We start from the raw sequence: 19,948 nt of genomic DNA, 5'->3' as shown, positions 1-19,948 counted from the left end.
GAAAAGAGGTTTAATTGACTCACAGCTGCAAATGGCTGGGGAGACATCAGGAAACTTATACAATAATGGCAGAAGGGAAAGCAAAACCATCCTTCTTCACAAGGTGGCAGGAGAGAGAAGCACAGAGCAAAGGGGGAACAGACCCTTATAAAACCATCAGATATTGTTGAGAACTCACTATCACAAGAGAACAGCATGGGAGAACCGCCCCCATGATCCAATCACCTCCCAAGAGTTCCCTCTTCCAGCACCTGGGGATTACAGTTCGGATTACAACTCAAGATGAGATTTGGGTGGGAACACACAGCCAGACCATATCAATAAGCAAAATGTTCAAGTCTGTTTACTCCTGGTAGTGGGCACATAGAGTCTGTTTATTATTCTGTCTTTTGTTTGCTTAAATTGTTCCTTAATTTAAATAGCATCCTTTATTTTTTAAAAATGCCTGTGTGTAATGCTGAGGTCATATCTGCCTTCTATGGAAGCTGCTTGCAGCGGGGCACAGAGGTCACCAAGAAATTTTGCACCTGGAGATTTTGTATCAGCAAGAAGTGGGTAGAAAAGTAGAGGGTCGCTGGAAGGAAGGTAACACTCCCAAATCCCAGTCCACTACACACTTTCCCACACTCTGAGGGGCTCTCCAGAAAAACTAAAAAATCAGGAGGAAGATACCTCCAGGGTTAGATCTTTCTTCTACTTCCTCAGTGGTGCCTAAGGCATCACCCTCCACCCATGGCCCCATTGTGGTCAGCACCTCCCGACCTTGATCTAGAAACTGCACGCTCAGAGTTACCCTCTCTCTGGGGTCAGGCAATTCCAGCACTGCACTTTCAGCGTTGGCTGAAAGTCTTGAACAGTTTACTTAGACCTTCTCCATTTGTTTGGCTAACCCCAGAGAACACCTCAAAGTAAGATCTGGTAAACTGTGCAGTGTTTAAACATTTTTTCTTCAAGTGGTAAGACCAAGTACACATCCCATTTCGACAAGAAGAATTTGAGATAAGCCTCTGTGATTGCTGAGGGCTATCGAGGAGAGTAATTTACCCTGAGGGCTGCCAAAACAAGTCCAGTCACTAGGGAAAGATTCTGCATGGAGACTAGAGTGTGGACCCCATAGCCATGAAAACTATGGCCTTTTTTTCTGAATTTGAGGCAGTTTTAGAAAAGCAAAAACCAAAAACTTCAGCAGATACTTTTCTCCCAAGTGGCTTTGTTCCCTCGCCTCTGGAGAGCCATAAACCATGAAATTTATTTGGGAAGGGGGTGCAGCATTAACAAAGACATAGTGTCAGTTGCTTTCTATTAATTACTCTTCAATATTAGTATACTTTTGAAATATGCTTCAGAAAATGATGACTAAATGGCTGAATTTCTAAAAGGAAAAAAATTGTTTTAGGATCAGATCAAGCACATTTATTAAGCATTCACTCATTCATTCATTCATCTACTAACTATTTATAAAGCACCTACTATGTTCCTGATATTGTTGCCAGGTTCTCAAGTTACCCAGAAGACACAGTGGCCACTTACAAGGAGAGGCATTGGGTAAGGATGTGCTAAGTTTTGTCTCCATCAAATTAAATTGAAAATCAGTTATTATCTAAACATTTACATAATTACAGGCAGTCATTATCCAGGTTGTTTTCCAAAGGCCAAATTTGACTCAGTGTGTCTTTGATTACTGAGACAAGGCACCAGTCGCATGAAACATCTCTTCAGAACAAAGCATTCCAAAGAAATTATTACACAGGAGGTTTAGCTCAAGAAAAAAGGAACAGAGAAATAGCTTGGGGTACAAAGCTCTTTATCTTGCTTTCTAAAGTGCAGTGGTTTAACGTTTAAAAGGTTACTTTCTGGAACATTTTTCCCTTGAAAGTTTCTTTCACACATTTGCAGACAGAAATTACAATAGAGCCATGAACAGCTTCCACTCTCTGGAGGGGATTTTCTTGCTTTTACTTATGTATTAGATAAAAATAGCATTTTACTTGTCTTCAAGCCTAAAGACAGGATTACATTTAAATCAGGTTCTTTCATTTTAAAATGTGAATTGTTAACTAGGGAGTAATGAGACCCGACCCTTAACCAGGCAGCCCTGGATTTATCCTTATGTCCATAAAGTTCCCAAGTTAAAATGAGCTTCAAAGGTCTGTAAATGTGAGGAATGTTACCTCCTTCCCCCTGGCACTTGTGAACATTTTAGTGGTTGTTTTCTCTGGTCAGATCCTACTGCCTCCAGAGATTTTTTTTTTTAACTTATTTCTCTGCTGTGTTTCCTGAACTTTTTCTAATAAGCAAGATCAGAACTCCTTTAGATACCTCCTTGATTTCGTTTATTGACAATCTAAACCCTACTGAGATATGTCCCTCAGTTATTCTGGACCTCATCAACAAGTCTGAATCATGGTCTCCAATTCACAGAAATGCTAAGATTGCAGCAACTTCTCTATAATAAATTTATAAAATGAGGTAATCTGATAGACAAACTCATTTAAGAAGAGTATTGACCACTTAGATTTCTGATATTTAAAAAAACACGTTAACTGCTGGAAAAGTCAAATAAAAAAAGCTAGAGGATTTCTTATATGTGTTCCATAAAATCACAGTGTTAATATTTCAGAGCTACAGAGAGCCTTGTTGATTATCTAATTTCCTTATTTTGTTATAATGGAAAGTGAGGCTGTCATATTGTGAAATATATACAGTACTTGGTTATCCTCCAGTTTCCTGGCATACAACTCCTAAAATCCTTGGACTCTTCAAAGTAATAAGTGGCTTTGTATGTGCTATTGAATTGACTAATAGGGGCGGTTCCTAGGTAGCTTCAGGATGGGGTTGGTCACCAGAAAGACCAAGGCAAGATTAGAGGGTTGGGACTTTTAGCCCCACCCCGAAACCTTGAGAAGGGGAGAAGGGCTGAAGATTATGTTGGTCACCAATGACCAATGACTTAATCAATCATGCCTCCCTAATGAAGCTTAAAAATCAAAAAGGACTATGTTCTGGAATCTTCCAGGTAGCTGAACCTCCAGACAGTGGAGGTTCCTGGAAGGTGGTGTGCCCAGGGAGGGCACGAAAGCTCTGTGTCCCTTCCTGCATGCCTTGCCCTACACATCTCTTCATCTGTATCCTTTGTAACATCCCTTATAATAAACAGGAAAACTTAAGTGTTTCCCTGAGGTCTGTGAGCTGCCCTAACAAATTAAGGGAACCCGGCGGGGTTGTGGGAACCCTAGTGTATAGCCAGTTGGTCAGAAGCACAGATAATACAACCTGGGGCTTGCGATCTGCATGGGAAGGTGTGTGTGTTGGGGGTAGGGCAGTCTTATGGGTCTGAGCCCTCAATCTCTGGGATCTGACACTCTCTCCAGGTAGATAGCATCAGAATCGAATTGAATTGGAGGACACCCAGCTGGTGTCCACTGAGGAATTGTTTGCTTGCTTGGTGGATGGGAAAAACACCTCCTCAATTGGGTCACAGGAGTCTTCTGTGTTGATTGTTTAAGTGAGAGAATAGAGGGAACGCTTTGGGTGTGTTTTTCCCCCTCATTTGGCAGGGGGGAGTTAAGGTTCCATATAGAATTAAGGTTGCTAATCAATGGACCCTAAAAAAAGGAGAGGATCCTGGGGCGGTGGAGGGCAGTTTTGTGGGACTGAGCCCTCAACCTGTGGGATCTGATGCTGTCTCCAGGTAGATAGCATCAGAATTGAATTGAATAAGAGGACACCCAGCTAGTGTCCTCTGCTGGATTGATTGATTGGCTGCTGGTTGGGAGAAATCTCCACAAACTTCTTCGTGCCCAGAGGTCACAGAAGTCTTCTGTGTTGATTGTTGTTGAGTAAGAGCATAGGAAAAGCACTTTGTTTTTTATTCTTTCATTCACAGAAGTCCACACAGGGGCCCAGAGAAGCAAAAGACAGGACTTTCCTAATATCGCATCAATTGACTTCAGTCTTTCTATTCCTTGCTGCAAGATACTTCTACTAGAGAACAGAAAAAGTCAATATCTAAAGAATGTCCAAAAATAAAAAGTCTTCTTTTAAAATGAGGTCTCGGTACCTCTTCAGGGAATCTGTCCCTTCACAGTTCACAGTTCACAGTCAGGCCTTATTGATCTAAAAAGAACTAAGTTCTTCCTGAGTTTATGGATTTATTATATTCCCATGTTGCCTGCACTAGAATGTAAACTCCAAGAGGGCAGGGCTTTGTCTGTTCTGTTCACTGGTGCACCCTGAGTACCCACCACAGTGCTTGGCCCCCAGATGATGGTCAGAATGAATAAATGAATGAATGAATGAAATGAAATCTGGCTGTCACCATAGGCAAACACTCAGGACTAACAATAGAAGGAACAAAAATAAGATCTGAAAAGGCCGTATGTTTATTACGATAAAAAATAATGTATTAAATGGGCATTTTGAGAAACTTCATTTTGTTTCTTTATGTCCTGGTAATGAGGCCTAAGAAGATCCCAGATATTACCATCTCCCTGGCGTCCCGAAACCTTTACTTATTAGGGTCAAACATCTGCCATTTAACTCATTCATTAATCCATACCTACTAGATATTTTATAATGATATTTTCAATATTAGAATCAAAGGTGCTTAGCCGGGTGTGGTGGGCATGCCTCTAGTCCCAGCTATTTGGTCAGCTGAGGTGGGAGGATCACTTGAGTTCATGAGCGAGGCTGCAGTGAGCTATGATTATGCCACTGTACTCCAGCCTGGGTGACCCCGTCTCTAAAAAAAGAAAAAGAAGAAAAAGGATGAAATGTGCCAGAGGTGTCAGTCAGTAGAAAGTGAAGCAATGGACTAGTATGAGATAATCCACATCATAAATAGTAAATTTTGACTGTCGTGTGTAGGCTGGGTCTAGCCACTGGGATCTTGAGATGCTACTAGTATTGATGTTCTTTTCCATGTGCTCCAAAACAGTGAAAATTCATACATGTTGCCTGTTCTCCCTCCAGTAGTGACTGTAAGACTTTAATTTGATTTAATTCAAAACAATTTAAGTTATTGAGCATGTACTCAACAAATTATTCTGCTAGGCATTTTAGGAAGAGATATATGACAAGGGCTGAGTTCTGATCAATGTCGGCTGTTTGATGCATTGCCTGTCTGGCACATTGCCTGCAAGATGCCTGTAGCAGGAAATTTTTTATCTTACAGTCATGGGGCTGGAAGGATAGGGGAGGAGCTTTTTCTGTTGGATTAAAAAGGAGATACTCAAAGTTGAGTTAATAGAGGACAAAGATGTCAAACCTGAAAAAGAGTTTAATGGGAATGAAGAGACTTCCAATGACCTGAATGGTAAGCAGTTTCAATCCAGAGAAAAATATATTTGAAAAAAACAACAAAGTTATGAATACAGTGGTTTTTAACAAGGTACAAGGGACTTCATGATAGTTTTGTTAACAATGCTTCTTAAACATAACTTTCAATGGACAATGTTGATTTTATGTAAGATCAAGACAAGAGGAAAAGGAAGATTATAGAATTTCCAGATGAAGATAAATGTCAAAGGAAGATGAGGCTTCAGACAGATAAAGACAACAAACAAGTCATGGGAAGGCCCCAGTGAGAGCTGACTCAGTGAGGGAGACTACACACATGAGGAAGTGATAATTGAGTGTTTCGCATCCAGCAGGAAAGAACCTAGAAAAAGAGGAGAGAAAAGGAAATGTATTATAAAATCTCAACAAGTTGTCTAACCCAAGAACCCAAGACAAATTTTGACAGCTTTGTTGGCTTCAGTTTCTAGCATTATTTTTATTGGTTGAATTAGGTACAAGTAGCTCTATGGGTAGCAAAAGCCCACAGGTGATAGAGACAATTTCTGCAAAACAAACACATTGTATCTTGTGGATGGTATAACAGACACCTGCCATGTGTCTGTTGTTGGATACAACCCTACAGGAGGCATGATTCATTTCCAGCAGCACGAGACCAGTGTATTAATCACAATGCTTTTGGCTGCAGGTAATAGGAAAATCAAATAAAGCAGCTTCAACAATAAGGAAAAAGTGTATTACCTCCCATGGCAGTAGGACAGGAGATGGTAAGGGCTGGGTGGGGTGGCCTGAGGCTCTGGGATCAGTGAGTTCAGCTGCTTAATGTTGTCAGGATGACCTAGATCTTTCCACCTATCAGGTCTGCCATCCTCATCATATGCGCTAGCACCCCTCATCTTCACAAGCTTGCATTAGCAGCTCCATGCATTACATCCTCACACAATGCCAAAAGCCGGAAAAGCAGAGGGCGTGTCATCTTTCTGAATCCCTGCCCTCTAGCTCTTTTTAAAAATTAGAATACCTGGTTACTGGGGAAAAATCATAATGAAAACTGCAATTGCTTATTTCACAACTTACAAAATAATGATTCAATATATAAAATGAATTTCTTTTTTTTTTTTTTTTTTTTAGAGTTGAGGTCACACTGTGTTACCCAGGCTGGTCTAGAACTCCTGGACTCAAGCAATCCTCCCACCTCGGCCCTCCAAAGTGCCGGGATTATAGGCATGAGCCACCATGCCCGGCAGTAAAATGAATTTCATTATATAAGTACAAACAATATAAAAATCCTCTGGATATATCATATATATGCCATTGAGAGAAACTCACATTCCTTAAATCTGCTGCTGCATGTTTTACATTAGACATTTTGGATCTATTTACCAAGGAAGACCACATTTTTAACTATATGTTGGTTTTTGCTTACAGTTGCAATCTATCAGAAGCTGTATTTATATAATTAGAGCCTAGTTAAACCTGAGATGAAAACAAAAGTCAAGCCATTTCTTACTCCTAGGCTGTTGGAATGGTGTTTTTTGTGATAGGAATGGCCCTTCTAATGCTTCACTACACAATCTAATCAAATCTATCATCATGATGAATTAGACCCAGTCCATCTTTCAGTCTGGTCTGCTCTGAGCCTGAACATATAGACATAAAACAGTACGAATTTATTAATATAGCATTTTCCCACATCCTCACCCCATAAACCACTTCAAAAGAGGAAATTTCATTTTCACATTTTACTTCTTAAGGAGGCCTCACTACCACACAGGCCTTGGCCATGAAAGAATACGTTCCTAGGTGATGCCTCAAGTTAATGTGAAGCTTAGCAAAAAATCAATTATTCAGGATAGTAATTACAAATTCTCACAAATATTATGCCTGTAGGAAACTATTTTGCTTCTTTAAATATCTGAAGGCTTGCAAAAATGTTTATCTTCTTGCATTTTTTTGGAATGTTTGGTAACTGACAATTTTTACCAATATCTCCCTTTTCTTAGCCCTTAATAGACAGTCCATTCCATCTAGTAAAAACAAAAATTTGATCAGATTATTAAATCTTGAAAGCCTTCTCATTTTTACTATATAAAGGGGTAAGTTTCATATTCATATTCTTTTACAAATGTGGTATAAATTGTACGGATAATATAAGGAAATATTGTCAAATATAGGTAATGAGTGGTGTTTAACTTCACAAAACGTAAATCAAAAATGAACATGAAACTCTAACAGTATTTAAGAAATATTTTCTCCCAAATTGTGCTAGCATTTTCGACTAGTTTAGTAATATCGACTGCCAAAAAATAGGTTCAAAGCAGCCTGAAGAAAACAGCCTGAGGATTAAAAACGGCTTGATATTTTCATCTCAAGTTTAACTGGGCTCTAATCGTATAGCATGGCTTCTGATGGATTGCAACTAGTTCCTTCCTCCAAATCCATCTTCCCACCAGCAATTTTCCTCCTCTCTCATTCCCCACTTGAGGTGATGTATGTAAGTACTTGGTCTGAGGTTGTCCGGGAGGTCATCTTCGCAGTTTGGGAGGCAGCAGCAGGAGAAGGCACAGCCGATCAGGATAATTGTGGGCACCCATCTGAAGCTGTAGGTCCAGTAATAGATGTGACAGCAGGCTTGGCATGAAGGCTGAAGGTCTGGGTGTATTTCACGGGTGTATTACCAGAAGGATGATTCGGAACACAGCAACCAGAGCGAGAGGCTCTAGTCACTCCTACGAAGACAAGCGCTTGGGATCCATAGAGGGCAAAGAAGCAGAGGATGGAATAGATCTTGAGGGTGATAGAGCCACAGAGGAGCATAGCAGCCGCTCTTCACCATGTCTCCCCCCATGAGACCCTGGTGGCCACACTTGTGGGAGCGTCTCCACTCCGGCGAGGATGTGTGGATGTGGTCACTCGCCTGCAACCAGCCCCTGCCAGCCGGTGTGATGATGATGTCAAAGGCCATGGCGCAGAGCAGGAGCCCCACCAGGCCCTGGTGCATAATCGGCTCGGGTGACAGCAGAGAACCAGGTGAAGCCCCTTTGTAAAGAGAACCTGAGCAGAAGCTTCCAGACCCTCACATCTTATTTAAAAAATGTTTTAAGTTAATTTTTTTTTCTAAGTTTCGCTCTGTTGCCCAGACTGGAGTGCAGTGGCATGATCTCGGTTCAAGGCAACCTCCGCCTCCTGGGTTCAAGCAATTCTCCCACCTCAGCCTCCTGAGTAACTGAGATTTCAGGCACCCGCTACCATGCCTGACTAATTTTTGTATTTTTTGTAGAGACGGGGTTTCACCATGTTGGCCAGGCTGGTCTCAAACTCCTGGCCTCAAGAGATCTGCCTGCCTCAGCCTCCCAAAGTGCTGGGATTACAGGCGTGAGCCATCGCACCCGGCCCAGACCTTCACACCTTAGATTGGCAAGAATCCTATCAAATGCCATTTCCAAACCAATACGTGACAGGAGGAATCGAATTCCCGATTGGTTTAGATTAATCAAGATGTATCCCTATGAGGCTGGGAAGGTTCAGCCTCCCCTAAAGGAGGCTGAATAAAATAAAATCAGGATTTTGTGAGAACAGAAGCAGAGTCAGGGAGAAGAGCTGTTGTGCAGGCAATCAACAGTGTCTGCCATAACCCCCCTCTCTTAATTTGCGCACAGTAATATTCACTCTTTGTGGTATATATGGCTCTAGGGTTTTGACAAATTCATAGAGTTGTGTGACCACCACCACTACAATGAAGACAGAGAAATGTACAGGATGGAAGAGAGTGGATAGGTTTATGCTCAACCAGCATGGATTTACTATTGTGGTAGAAACAAGTAAGAGGGAGGGCAGAGTCATTGTTCTTACACGTTTGTATGAACAAACTTCCAGGAGGGTGAGCAGGCAATGCCTAAATCTAATATAGGGAGCTAGGGACAGCATATTGTCAGGGTTTGAAGAAGGGAGAGGTTCCCACTCTGGAGCTGTGGCCTGCTGTGTCCTTATGACTATTTGTATCTCCCGGGGCCCCTTGCTCAGGTGACCATTCCAGACGCCCATCTCTGGTTGCTGCGTGGTGGTAGCCCCGATGGTTTCTTTCGATCCCCTGGGCTCACATTCCTTGCTTTATTCTGCCCATCCTTCTTGCTGACCCTCAGCTAGTCAGCCTGGGGGTATTCAGGTCTTCTGTCCACATTCAGGACATGTCCCTATTCCAAAGAGGAAGGCTGAGTTTGCAGACAGCCTTATTCCAGGCAGGACTGGCTGGATTCAGGATGGTGTGCTGGGAGCTTGGGTGGCCTTTTGATCATTATTATGGCAGGTGGACGGTGCTGATGAACAGATACTGTCACTGTGTTTGAACACAACAGACTGCTTGGACATAACAAAGAATCTAGTAAAATAAGATAATAATTATAAGAAGGACAGCAAACACAGTTAGCTAACTTTTCCAAACCAAAAAGACCGTCCAGCGAGAGCAGCTTTTGAGCCCTGTTCCACAATACTTACAGTGTTTAGAGTCCCATGAAAGGGCCCAACTGTGGCTAAAACAACAGTCATCTAACTCGAGTTGCTTTCTTCCAGGGAGCTGGCGCCAATGCTTGTCTTTACTGCCCAGGGCCAGGGCTTGTTTGTAGAGTGCCTTTGTGCAAAGTGGAGAAAGTCTCCCCACTCCTCACGATGCTTTATTTCCATCTCTTGGGAAATTGTTATAATATGCTGTAAAATTGTAATAGTCAATATCTAGATCCTTGAGGCATAAACTTTGAATGATGCTTCTTAGGGTTGTACAGGGTGCAACCAGCACAGCTGTAAACATAGCCTCAGGACCCAGTTGTTTTGAGGATGAGAATAAGCCCCATTGTCTCAGAAATGTAGCCAGTCTGGGTCAGTGGTTGGAGGATGCCTGGCAGCCTATTAATGTATTCAGTCAACATTGACGGAGTGGTTACTATATTCTGGGCACAGTGTTAAGTGCTTTACGGCATTATCTCATTTAATCTTCAAAAAATGACCATGAACAGGTATTATCTTTGTTTTGTTTTGTTTTGTTTTGTTTTGAGACGGAGTCTTGCTCTGCCGCCCAGGCTGGAGTGCAGTGGCGCGATCTCGGCTCACTGCAAGCTCCGCCTCCCGGGTTCACGCCACTCTCCTGCCTCAGCCTCCCGAGTAGCTGGGACTACAGGTGCCCGCCACCACGCGCGGCTAATTTTTTGTATTTTTTAGTAGAGACGGGGTTGAACATGTATTATCTTTATTCCTATTTTACAGTTGAGGAAGTCAAAGTTTAGAGAGCTTATTCGACTTGTCCCAATTCACAAGGTTTGTGAAAGAGCTGACCTAGAATCCTGATGGAGATGATGCTGAAGTGACCACTCTGCTTCCTGAATATATGCCTTGAATATACTGTATAGATGTATATATAGTTTTTCACATATATCAATCCTGTTGGTATCGATGGTAATTCTTAGGGATGTTCATATTATCGTATCTCTTTGTTTTCATATATATCTGATGGGTTCCTCAGGAAAAAAATAAAGCAGCAGCTCTGTGATACTTAAGGTGCTGCAGAAGATGATGATGCAAACACATTAAAGTCGCAAATACTGAGAAAAATATCTGTCTTTTCGGACCAAACGACTGAAGACCACACAAGTAACTGCTTCAGCAGTAGAGGTGAATTGCACGGTGCCTCTGCGTCGCTTGCTTCAGTGGCGGGGACGGTGTGCTTTTGCTCAATTAAGAGGATCAGCCCTTCACATTGCAAGCCTGTTGGCAACGATTCAAACCTGACAGCCTGAGCTTTCACAGCGATAATCCGTAGGCTCTTTGGAAAGGTGACACAGCAGCTTCCTCCAGAGCACATGTCAAAGAGGATCCTAGTGGCCAAAGACCATGTTGTTCTTTCTTTTTGGGGTTCTGTAGTCATGGGAGCATGACTTTTGGCCCAATAAAACACTCCTGCTGAAATCCTGCTATCTTGCCTTCTTCTTCAAGGAAGCTGATTAAAGCGAATGAAGAATGAAAAATTTTGCCCAACAGCTTTTTGTTTGGTTTTCTTACATGAAGGATTCTTAATTTAACTGATTTCCTTCCTAATTAGATTTAGCAATTAGGGCTGCCCGTTAACCTGGGAGTTTCCTGTACGAGTCTCAGCCCCCATCACATCTGCCTGGCTTGCAGCCCCACAGCTGTGTAACTGGCAGTTAAATCCATATCTTCTGTTCAAAGCAGAGGAGATGTACATAGCCAAACCCAGGTGGCCGGCTCTTCAATCCAGTCAGATCCAAGAAGCATGTGCAAAGCACTTTGCCAGCCACTCTGGGGTGATGGAGAGATGAGCAAGACAGTCTGGGATCTCTAGGCTCCTATGAGTCATTCATCTATTGAGCCTTTACTATCTGCTAGGCAATGTTCTAGGCATTGGGGATGCAGTAATAAACAAAACATACAAAATTTTTATACTTTCTGGAAGAGGAGACAGACAATAAAAAATACATAAGTAAATGTATAGTAAGCCAGATAGTGATAAATGCTATGAAGGAACTATTGTAATCTAGGCATATGCATGAAACACACATACACACCTCTGATGGTATGTGTTGGTTCAAAGTGCCATGGTATTACAATGGAGGAAGAAATTGATTTTGCATGGAATAATTTGGCAAGTAGTGAGATTTAAGCTGGCCCCTGAAGAATGTTTAGGTCAGGTGAATATTGCTGCTGTGAAGGGAAGCAAGGGAAAAGCGCTCCCTAAGCATCTGAAACATTTCAGCAATGGTCCAGGAGTGAGGAGAGAGGGGGATGCAAAGCACATTCAGGGAGCTGAGTAGCTGATGCCAGCCTCAACAGTGGGTGGGATGGCAGGTGGGACAGGGACCTGAGATGGAAAGTCATGTGGATGTTAAGTGAAGAAAGATTTTTACTGCCAGGCTGAGGAGTATGGGTTGAACTCTGCATGCAGTGGGGAGTTACTGAGTGTTTTGCACAGGGAGTGCCCTGAGCAGATGTGTTTGCAGATGCAAGACTGGCAGAAGAAAGGCTTGTCCATACGCAGGAAGACACCTGGAATGATACTGGCCCTTGTAGCTGGCACCTAGGGCATTGAGGTAAGGACAGTCTTTGGTTTTCATTAGGTAACAGGTGGCATTGTCATATTACTCAGATTATTCAAGATAACAAGCTATATCTGCTTTCCCTAGACATTTGCATTCAAATGTGATCATTCCTTTATTCCCAAGCCACGGATATTCAAGTTCTAGTACAGTAAACTGAGGCTCTGCCAGATAGACTTATCCTCCTTTTATAGCTGTAGTTGAGCAACTTGGGTGCCCCAAAGCTTTATGGATAACTTGTAATTGATTTCCTCCATAAAGCCTCAGTAAGGCCTGCAGTAAGAGGTGCAGCTTGTGTCTTCCTTCTCTTGGCAAATTGCATAGAGATGGTCAGAGAAATTTTGGAAAGAAGTCCACCACCTTCACTCTCCTGCCATTGAAATTTACCTTCATGGTTCATAAATAATGCAGAGCCATAAAGAGAAGAGAAGCAGCAAATATGTTCACATGTTTATTTTACCGTTGATAGGGACAGGAGGGTGAGAAATTCTGGGCAGAAGAGGTCGGGTCCCTGGTGAGGGCTCCACCCTCAAGCCAAAAAGCCCAATCCTGTGGCTCAAAGTGAGAGTTTACATCTCTGTTTTCTGTCTGGAATGCTGACTTTTCCAAAACCACCCATGGCCCACCCTGCCTCCAGTCTTGTGCCCATAAAAACCCCAGGCTCAGCTGTCAGAGGGAGGAGAAGCAGCTGGATGTTGGAGAGAAGCAGCTTGACATCAGAGGGATAGGCTTGACTTCAGAGGGACGGCTTGAAAGCATAGCTTCCCACTCCATCCCCTTTTCAGGTTCCCTTCATCACTTTCGTCAGCAATAAAATCCTCCACATTCACCACTCTTCAATTTGTTCGTGCTACCTGATTTTTCCTGGACACCAAACAAGAGCTCAGTGCCACAGGTGCAGAAAAGAAAGGCTGTCACACTGACCTTCTACCCTTGCTGGTGGAAAGCAACTATCTCACGCAAAAAGGCAGAGGGCCCACTGAGCTGTTTAATACTTAAGCTGTCCATGGACAGCATCACAGGTTCTCCCCACTAGATGCTGCCACGGGGCCCACACAAAGTTTTGCTCCTGCTGGTGCCTGAAAGCACTCACCCCAGTTCCTGCATCCACTCACCTGTGCATTCCCTCCCATGAGGAGCTGAGAGCAATGGGTTCGAGTGAGTGGAGTTCGCCCCTGCCAGTGCCGAAGCAGCCGGCTAACTCCAGTGCCTGCACTCCAGTTCCCACTTGCAAAGGGGTCAGGGAAATTTCCCGCTTCACTGTCATCTCCCCATAGAATTCCCCTTTGCTAACTCAGCCAGAGAAGATACTTGGTTCACCTACATTCACAGAAAAGTATTTTTCATTCCCTTGTTCTTTCTCTTCTTCCACTTTGTCCTTCCTTTAGTCATTCATTCCCTTGCCCCTCCCTTTGTTGCTGTTTATTGTGTCTGGAAGGGAGAAACAGAGATGCTTAAGTAGGGGGTTTTGGATATTTTTTGCCACATGTCCTGTATAATGAGAATCTTTCCTCAAAGCCTTGAGTGAAATATCCATTTCTCAGAAATGCTTTGTGGAGTTGGCTCTGGTCTTTTGGCCAGATTCCCGGTGGGTGTGGGCCTGGAACAGGAGCTGCCCTTGGGGGTCCGCTGCACAGCTGAAGGATGTGCATGAATTCTCTGCCTCCCCACTAAGGCCTGACTAGCCCACAGCTCTTGTTCTTTCCCTAGAGCTTAGTGGTGGAAATTCAAAGCTGGGAGGAGAAGGGCCAGCAAGGAGATGAGTAATAACATGGAAACTCTGAAACTGTGAAGGCTTGCCAGGAGTGAAGGCCTCCAGTTGATTTCCACAGTCCTTTCAGTGAGTCAAATAGAGCACTGGAGATCCCAGAATTGTTATCCTATTTGATTTTACCTGTCTGCCTTCTCACTGTTTATTTAAGGTGTTTTCCCCATAAAAATGCGTGGTAATTAATATATACACATATATTGCTGTAAAATGGCTTCCTGGGCTGGGATGGGGCTGTGCAAAGGGGGAAGCCTAAGAGCCCTCATTAATGAGGACTGACTGGTGCAATCAAAGGTTGTACCCTCAAACTCCAGGGCACTAGTGGAGAGGGTTTGGGCTGTTAGTCACACTCCTTAAAAGCAAAGCAAAACAAAAACAAAGAGAACAAGTGTACTGGCCATTTTGTCCCTTCGGATGGTCTGTGGTAAGGTCAACCTTTTGGAGCATCCCGGGCCATGTGTAAGGCTGCCCCTCAGAAGCAGTGCTGTGGGTGGGTTGGGGGGAACACTTGGAGCCCTGCGTGTGACTCCTGGCTCTCCTCTTTCCAGCTCTGTGACCTTGAGCAAGTCACTCCAGCTCTCTGTGCCTGAGGTCCTCATCTGTAAAATGAGGCCAAGGAGAATCTCTGCTTCACGGGCATGTTGTGAGAATGAAATGAACCAATTCCCATCAAGCCTTTAGAACCACCCGCTCAGGGACTCCACCAAAGATCCTTAGGTACAGCATGTAAATTTAGGTTAAATACCAGAGGGGAGAGGGGAGGCATGGCTTCTTCTTAAAAGGAGAAAGATGGCATGTTCCTGTAGTCGCAACTATTCGAGACGCTGAGGTCTGGGAGTTTGAGGCCAGCTTGGACAACATAGCAAGACTCCTCCATCTCCTTAAAAAAAAGAAAAATTAATTTTTTTAAAAGGAGAAAGAGCTTTCAAACATAGAGGTGATATGAAGAGGGAAAAGCTCTTTAGCATCTATTACTGAAGTAGAGGTGGGGTTCATGGCTCCCACAGACAAAAGCATAGGGGTATGGCTTACCCTTTGTCCTGCAGCAAGGGAGGAGAAGAGAGGGTGCTGGGAGGGATTTATAAGCTGCTTTAATAGTTTCCTTTTCCAGTATAATTGTTCATTTGTGTAAGTTACACTTGCATTTAGAAGAGCCTATATAATATCTAAAGACCAGGAAAGTCATGGCTATACATTTGTAGGGACTTCAGCTTGAACAGGTAACCCGAGTCCCATTTCAAAACGTGCTGCCTGAGTCTAGGGGTGTCACACCTCATATGTAGGGATGACCTTTTGAGAAGTTTAGACACAGCAGCTTTGCCTGGCTCTCGCGCTCTCTCCCCTAACTCTGGCACACACACTCTCCTGGCCCGCATCAGCAGCAGCCTCCAGTGTTGAACACAAAGGACTTTTGTTGTGTGTAATTATTTATAAAGCTGGCCCATGTCTATTATGAATAATCATGATAGTGGGGATGAAGGAGAAAGGTAACTCCACATTTGAAACTACTACAAGGCTATGATTCATTTTTCCTCTCTTTATTAAGAAGCCTATCTCAGATAATTTGCAGCAAAGTTTTACCCTGGAGCAAGTTTCCTCAGTCATGTTAAATTCATGGGGAAAATCCTCCTAGGATTTAGAACTGAAAAATAGCTTTAATAACGGAAACGCTGATGTAAAGAGCAGGGAAAGGCAGCATGTTCTAACCATTTAGGGAAAAAATGGGTAAGATGTTACTAATAAGCTGTGCTATATTTTTATCCTACCGTTTTCTTCATCTGAAGGAATGTGGAGACGAGCTTTTAAATTCTAAATGATTACCTGACAGCTCCCATCTCTAGGGCACATTACTAGCAATGGTTTTATTTTGCTATTACCTTTACTAAAAACTCAGAGGACACATGCTTGGCAGAGCCCAGGCTAGGAAGTAAGATCTATGGACAAGAGAAAAGAGTGCAGTGAACAGAACTGAGGAACCCAGCACTTCTTGATTCCCTTTTATGATCTTTGTGGACACTGACCTTATCAGTAGGGCTGGGAGTAGGGGTTACCAGGGCCTCTAGCACCTTCCTGGATAAGATTCCAACCTAACTCCCCAACCCCATCTCCCATTATTTCATCCCAACCCATCCAACCACATACCCTGTATTTCAGTCATGCCAAACTGCCCACTGGTCCCCAAATATGCTACATTTTTGAACTGGCTCCTTCCACCCACCTTCCCTACCTGGCAAGCTCTGGCTCACCTTCCAAGACTCCTCTCCAATGCAACCTTCCTCCAGAAAACCTTCCAACCTGAAGCAAAGTGAGTGGCAAATCTTCTGCTCTTCCACAGCACCTGATACCTGCTTTGATTGTAGAACTTAGTAGAGTGGAATTATTAGTTTACAGCTTCCACTGCCCTTGGAATCCCAGAGCAGGCAAGAACTACATCTCAGATATCTGTACCATGCAGCCCAGGGTTTCTCAACAGCAGCAATACTGATGTTTTGGGCCAGAAATGTCAATATTCTTTGCTGTAGGGGGTGTTATACTGTACATTTTAGGAGGTTTGGCAGCATTTGGGCCCTCTACCCACTAAATGCCAGTAGTCACCTACCCGCATTGTGACCCTTGAAGAACATCTCCAGACATTGCTCAGTGCTTCCTGGGGGCCAATATTGCCCCTGAACCAGAACCACTGCCCTAGCCCTAACGGAGAGCCTGATATATTCTAGGTATGTAATGTGCACTTGCTGAATTAATAAATCAATGCCCAAGTTAAGGAATAAAAGGCCAAATGAATCAAACGTATAAACTCCTTACTGTAGCTTTCACATACGTATCAAAGCAAAGCTGAAATTTTTATTCCAGCAGTCATGTCTCTTCATGAACTGGCTCTACTTCTGTCCTCTCTTGTACCCTTTGCTCCTCGTCTGTGGGCTCTTTTGCATTCTCATGCTTTCCCTTTCCATCAATCCAAATCCTGTACTTACTTCAAGACAAAGAACAACTTACCCACTTTAAGAAGTCCTCCTCCATTCACTGGCATCCATTCATACAAGAATACATATGTAATATACATATATCTACATATTCATTATGTGTGGTTTTAGAACTGCTTATCTTTTTGTTTCATATAGATACCTTCTTCTCAACTAGAAGAATCACTCCTTGATAGAAAAAAGAGCTTCCCCCTTTAAGTTTTTCTTGCCCTTAGCACTATGGCAAGCTTTATGAACAACAGATGTTTAGCTTTTGCTTAAAGTGTATTTTTTCTCTAAGCAACCGGCAGGTCTGTTCAATCTGTATCATTTGTGTGGTCCTGACATAGTTTTGTTTTTAAGAGGCATAGGGCTAACTCTTTAATATCCTGCAGTTTTTGAATAAATGAATTTCAAGAAGACTCTACAGATATGAATATAAGTAATCTGCAATGTTTTGGAATTTCTATGAGAAGACACTAAATGTGAAAAGCAGTGAAAAAGACAAGAATGATTGTGTTTTTGTCTGAAATTCAGATGGTGCTTAAACTCCACTTAGGTACTTTTCCCCATTGCTTGGTCAGATGGTATTAAAAACTTCAACCTTCCTAATTTATTTTAGGCTCTCCAAACACACAAATATCCCTTGGACCCCTCCTTCAGGCGCACATGCAAACGTGGTGACGTGTGCATGCACTTTTTCTTTTTCTTTTTTCTTTTTTTTTTTGAGATGGAGTCTCACTCTGTCGCCCAGTCCAAAGTGCAGTGGCGCGATCTCGGCTCACTGCAAGCTCTGCCTCCTGGGTTCACACCATTCTCCTGCCTCAGCCTCCTGAGTAGCTGGGACTGCAGGCACCCGCTACCGTGCCTGGCTGATTTTTTGTATTTTTTTTTTTTTAGCAGAGATGGGGTTTCACTGTGTTAGCCAGGATGGTCTTGATCTCCCGACCTCGTGATCCACCCGCCTCGGCCTCCCAAAGTGCTGGGGTTACAGGCGTGAGCCACCGCTGCACTTTTTCTAATGCATGTGTTTGGAAATTTCCCCACACCTGTTCTACGGGGCATACCTTTTTTCTCATATTGTTCTTGGAAGAGCTCATGCTTTTACCCATGCGTGCTCTCCTGTGGGGCGTCTGATCCTTGGTGTTCAATGGCAGAGTTAAGGGGACACTTCCCCCCAGAACTTCCCAGCGTTGCATTCGAGCTCATCCTGTGACAAGATAAATATACAATAAACATACTGGAATGGGGTAGGATGGGAATAACTCCCTTTTTCACTGATTTTTGAAACCCTTAATAAAAAGACCAAAGAATGATTTTGTTCAAGTCTTGTAAATTTTATCTTTGGCAGATCCGCCTGTTGAGTCTTCAGTTTCTCCAGTGTTCCAAAGATCCAGGCTCTCCATTTATTCCTCTTTTGGCCCCTTAGCTGAATCTTCGTTCACCCTCTCTTCTTGAACTCCTGGTCTTAAGCAATCCTCTCGCCTCCCGGCCTCCGAGTAGCTGGAACTACAAGCATGCACCACTGTAGTGCATAGGAGAGGCCCTCCTCTCCTCTATGCCTACACAGGGCCTCCTATTTAAAACCCAAAGTCAAAACACTTCTCGTGGCCCTGCCTTCTCCTATGGTGCCATCTCCTTGACTGACCACTTCCGCATCCTCACCTCACATTTGTACTCAGCTCACTACAATCTGGTAACCTCTTAGTATCCCCTCACTTCTGAAAATGCACCCACTCTTTCTTAAGCCCTGACACTTCCTCATACTGCCACATGTTATGGCTTTCTTGATACTCCCCTCCTTGACCCTGCAGCAGTCCTAACACAGCTGACCGCCTCTTTGCAGCTGTCTCCTGGCTTAGCTTTCTGCCCCTCGTTATCCCTATCCTGTTGTCGGTTCTTTCTCAAATACCTTCATAGTCTCGCTGTTCACTTTAGATGTGGGTCCTTTCAGGGACGCATGCTCAGCTTCATTCTTTCCCTCCTTTCACACTCCTATGGATGACTTCTAAGTTGTCATGTCTTCAAATATCAGTGAAATGTAATGGCCACCAAATGTTTCTCTTTATCTTCATCATCCTCTGGAAGTTCCAACCCACGCTTTCAACTACCTCCAGGTTTGCCCATCACCAAGCATCTCAAATGTGTGGCCAAACCCTGTTGTAATTTCCTTTCTACTTTCAGGACTTGCTCCCTTTTTTGTCCCTCCATTAAAGGCTATCTATTCCAAGTCAGAAACAGGATTTTCATACGACTTGTCTCTCTCAGTAATGCTGACCATATTTCTAAAGTATTTTGACTCTGTCTCATTCTTTTCATGTTGACAGATGGTCAAAATTGAGTTCTCTGCCACTGTTCTCTTTCTGCTCTTGGACTTCTTCTCTGTGCAAGAACCAGATCTGATTGCTACCCCGTCCCAAAAGTTCCTTGTTCTGAAGGCAGTGGAGAACCATGTCCATGTTAAACCTGGAATTCAAGATTCCCCACCACTGTGACTCTACATCACATGTTCCTTCAGAGCCCAATTTCTTACCAGTTCACTGACATGCAGCGGGTGGGCCAGCCCCAGCAGACTGTGCTCCAGCCCTGGCATGGGCTATGCACTTTCTTTTTCCAACTAGAATGTCAAGGATCTGCTCAGATCTTTTATGAAGCACCTTTATCCTTGGCTCCTAAGCACAATGAATCCCTGCCTCCTGTGCCTCCACTGTTCTTCCCTTCTAATTCTATGATGCCACCATGTAATATAGTGGTTTTCATGTTAGTCACTGAGCTTAAGGCGTCCATATGGTCTAGTGGGGTGAATAATATGTAATCTTATC

The 19,948-nt window shown here is 43.4% G+C and overlaps 1 protein-coding gene and 1 pseudogene across 18 annotated transcripts in view; both read right to left on the bottom strand.

Moving 5' to 3' along the window:
• Positions 1–5,322: 5,322 nt before the first annotated feature.
• MYLIP (myosin regulatory light chain interacting protein) overlaps positions 5,323–19,948 on the bottom strand; it is a 34,802-nt gene continuing 20,176 nt past the window's right edge. For 2 of the 18 annotated variants that reach the window (XR_007059250.1, XR_007059256.1), the window contains 3 exons: positions 18,194–18,336; positions 16,410–16,508; positions 12,834–15,043 (listed from right to left, as the gene is read on the bottom strand). Coding sequence is in view for 2 of the 18 variants with exons in the window: in XM_017010789.2 (XP_016866278.1) it covers positions 18,286–18,336 (51 nt within the window). In the remaining 16 variants the exon portion in view is untranslated. Of the gene's footprint in view, positions 8,025–12,833; positions 18,337–19,948 lie in introns of those variants that run through there. The other 16 variants (XM_017010789.2, XM_047418683.1, XR_007059257.1 and 13 more) reach the window with 15 other exon arrangements.
• On the bottom strand, positions 6,543–8,276 carry PERPP3 (PERP pseudogene 3; annotated as a pseudogene).

This window comes from Homo sapiens, chromosome 6 (genome assembly GCF_000001405.40).
Source record: "Homo sapiens chromosome 6, GRCh38.p14 Primary Assembly".
NCBI classification, from domain to species: Eukaryota; Metazoa; Chordata; class Mammalia; order Primates; family Hominidae; genus Homo; species Homo sapiens.
Note: the sequence above shows the minus strand (reverse complement) of the source record. Positions and strands in the feature narration are given on the sequence as shown.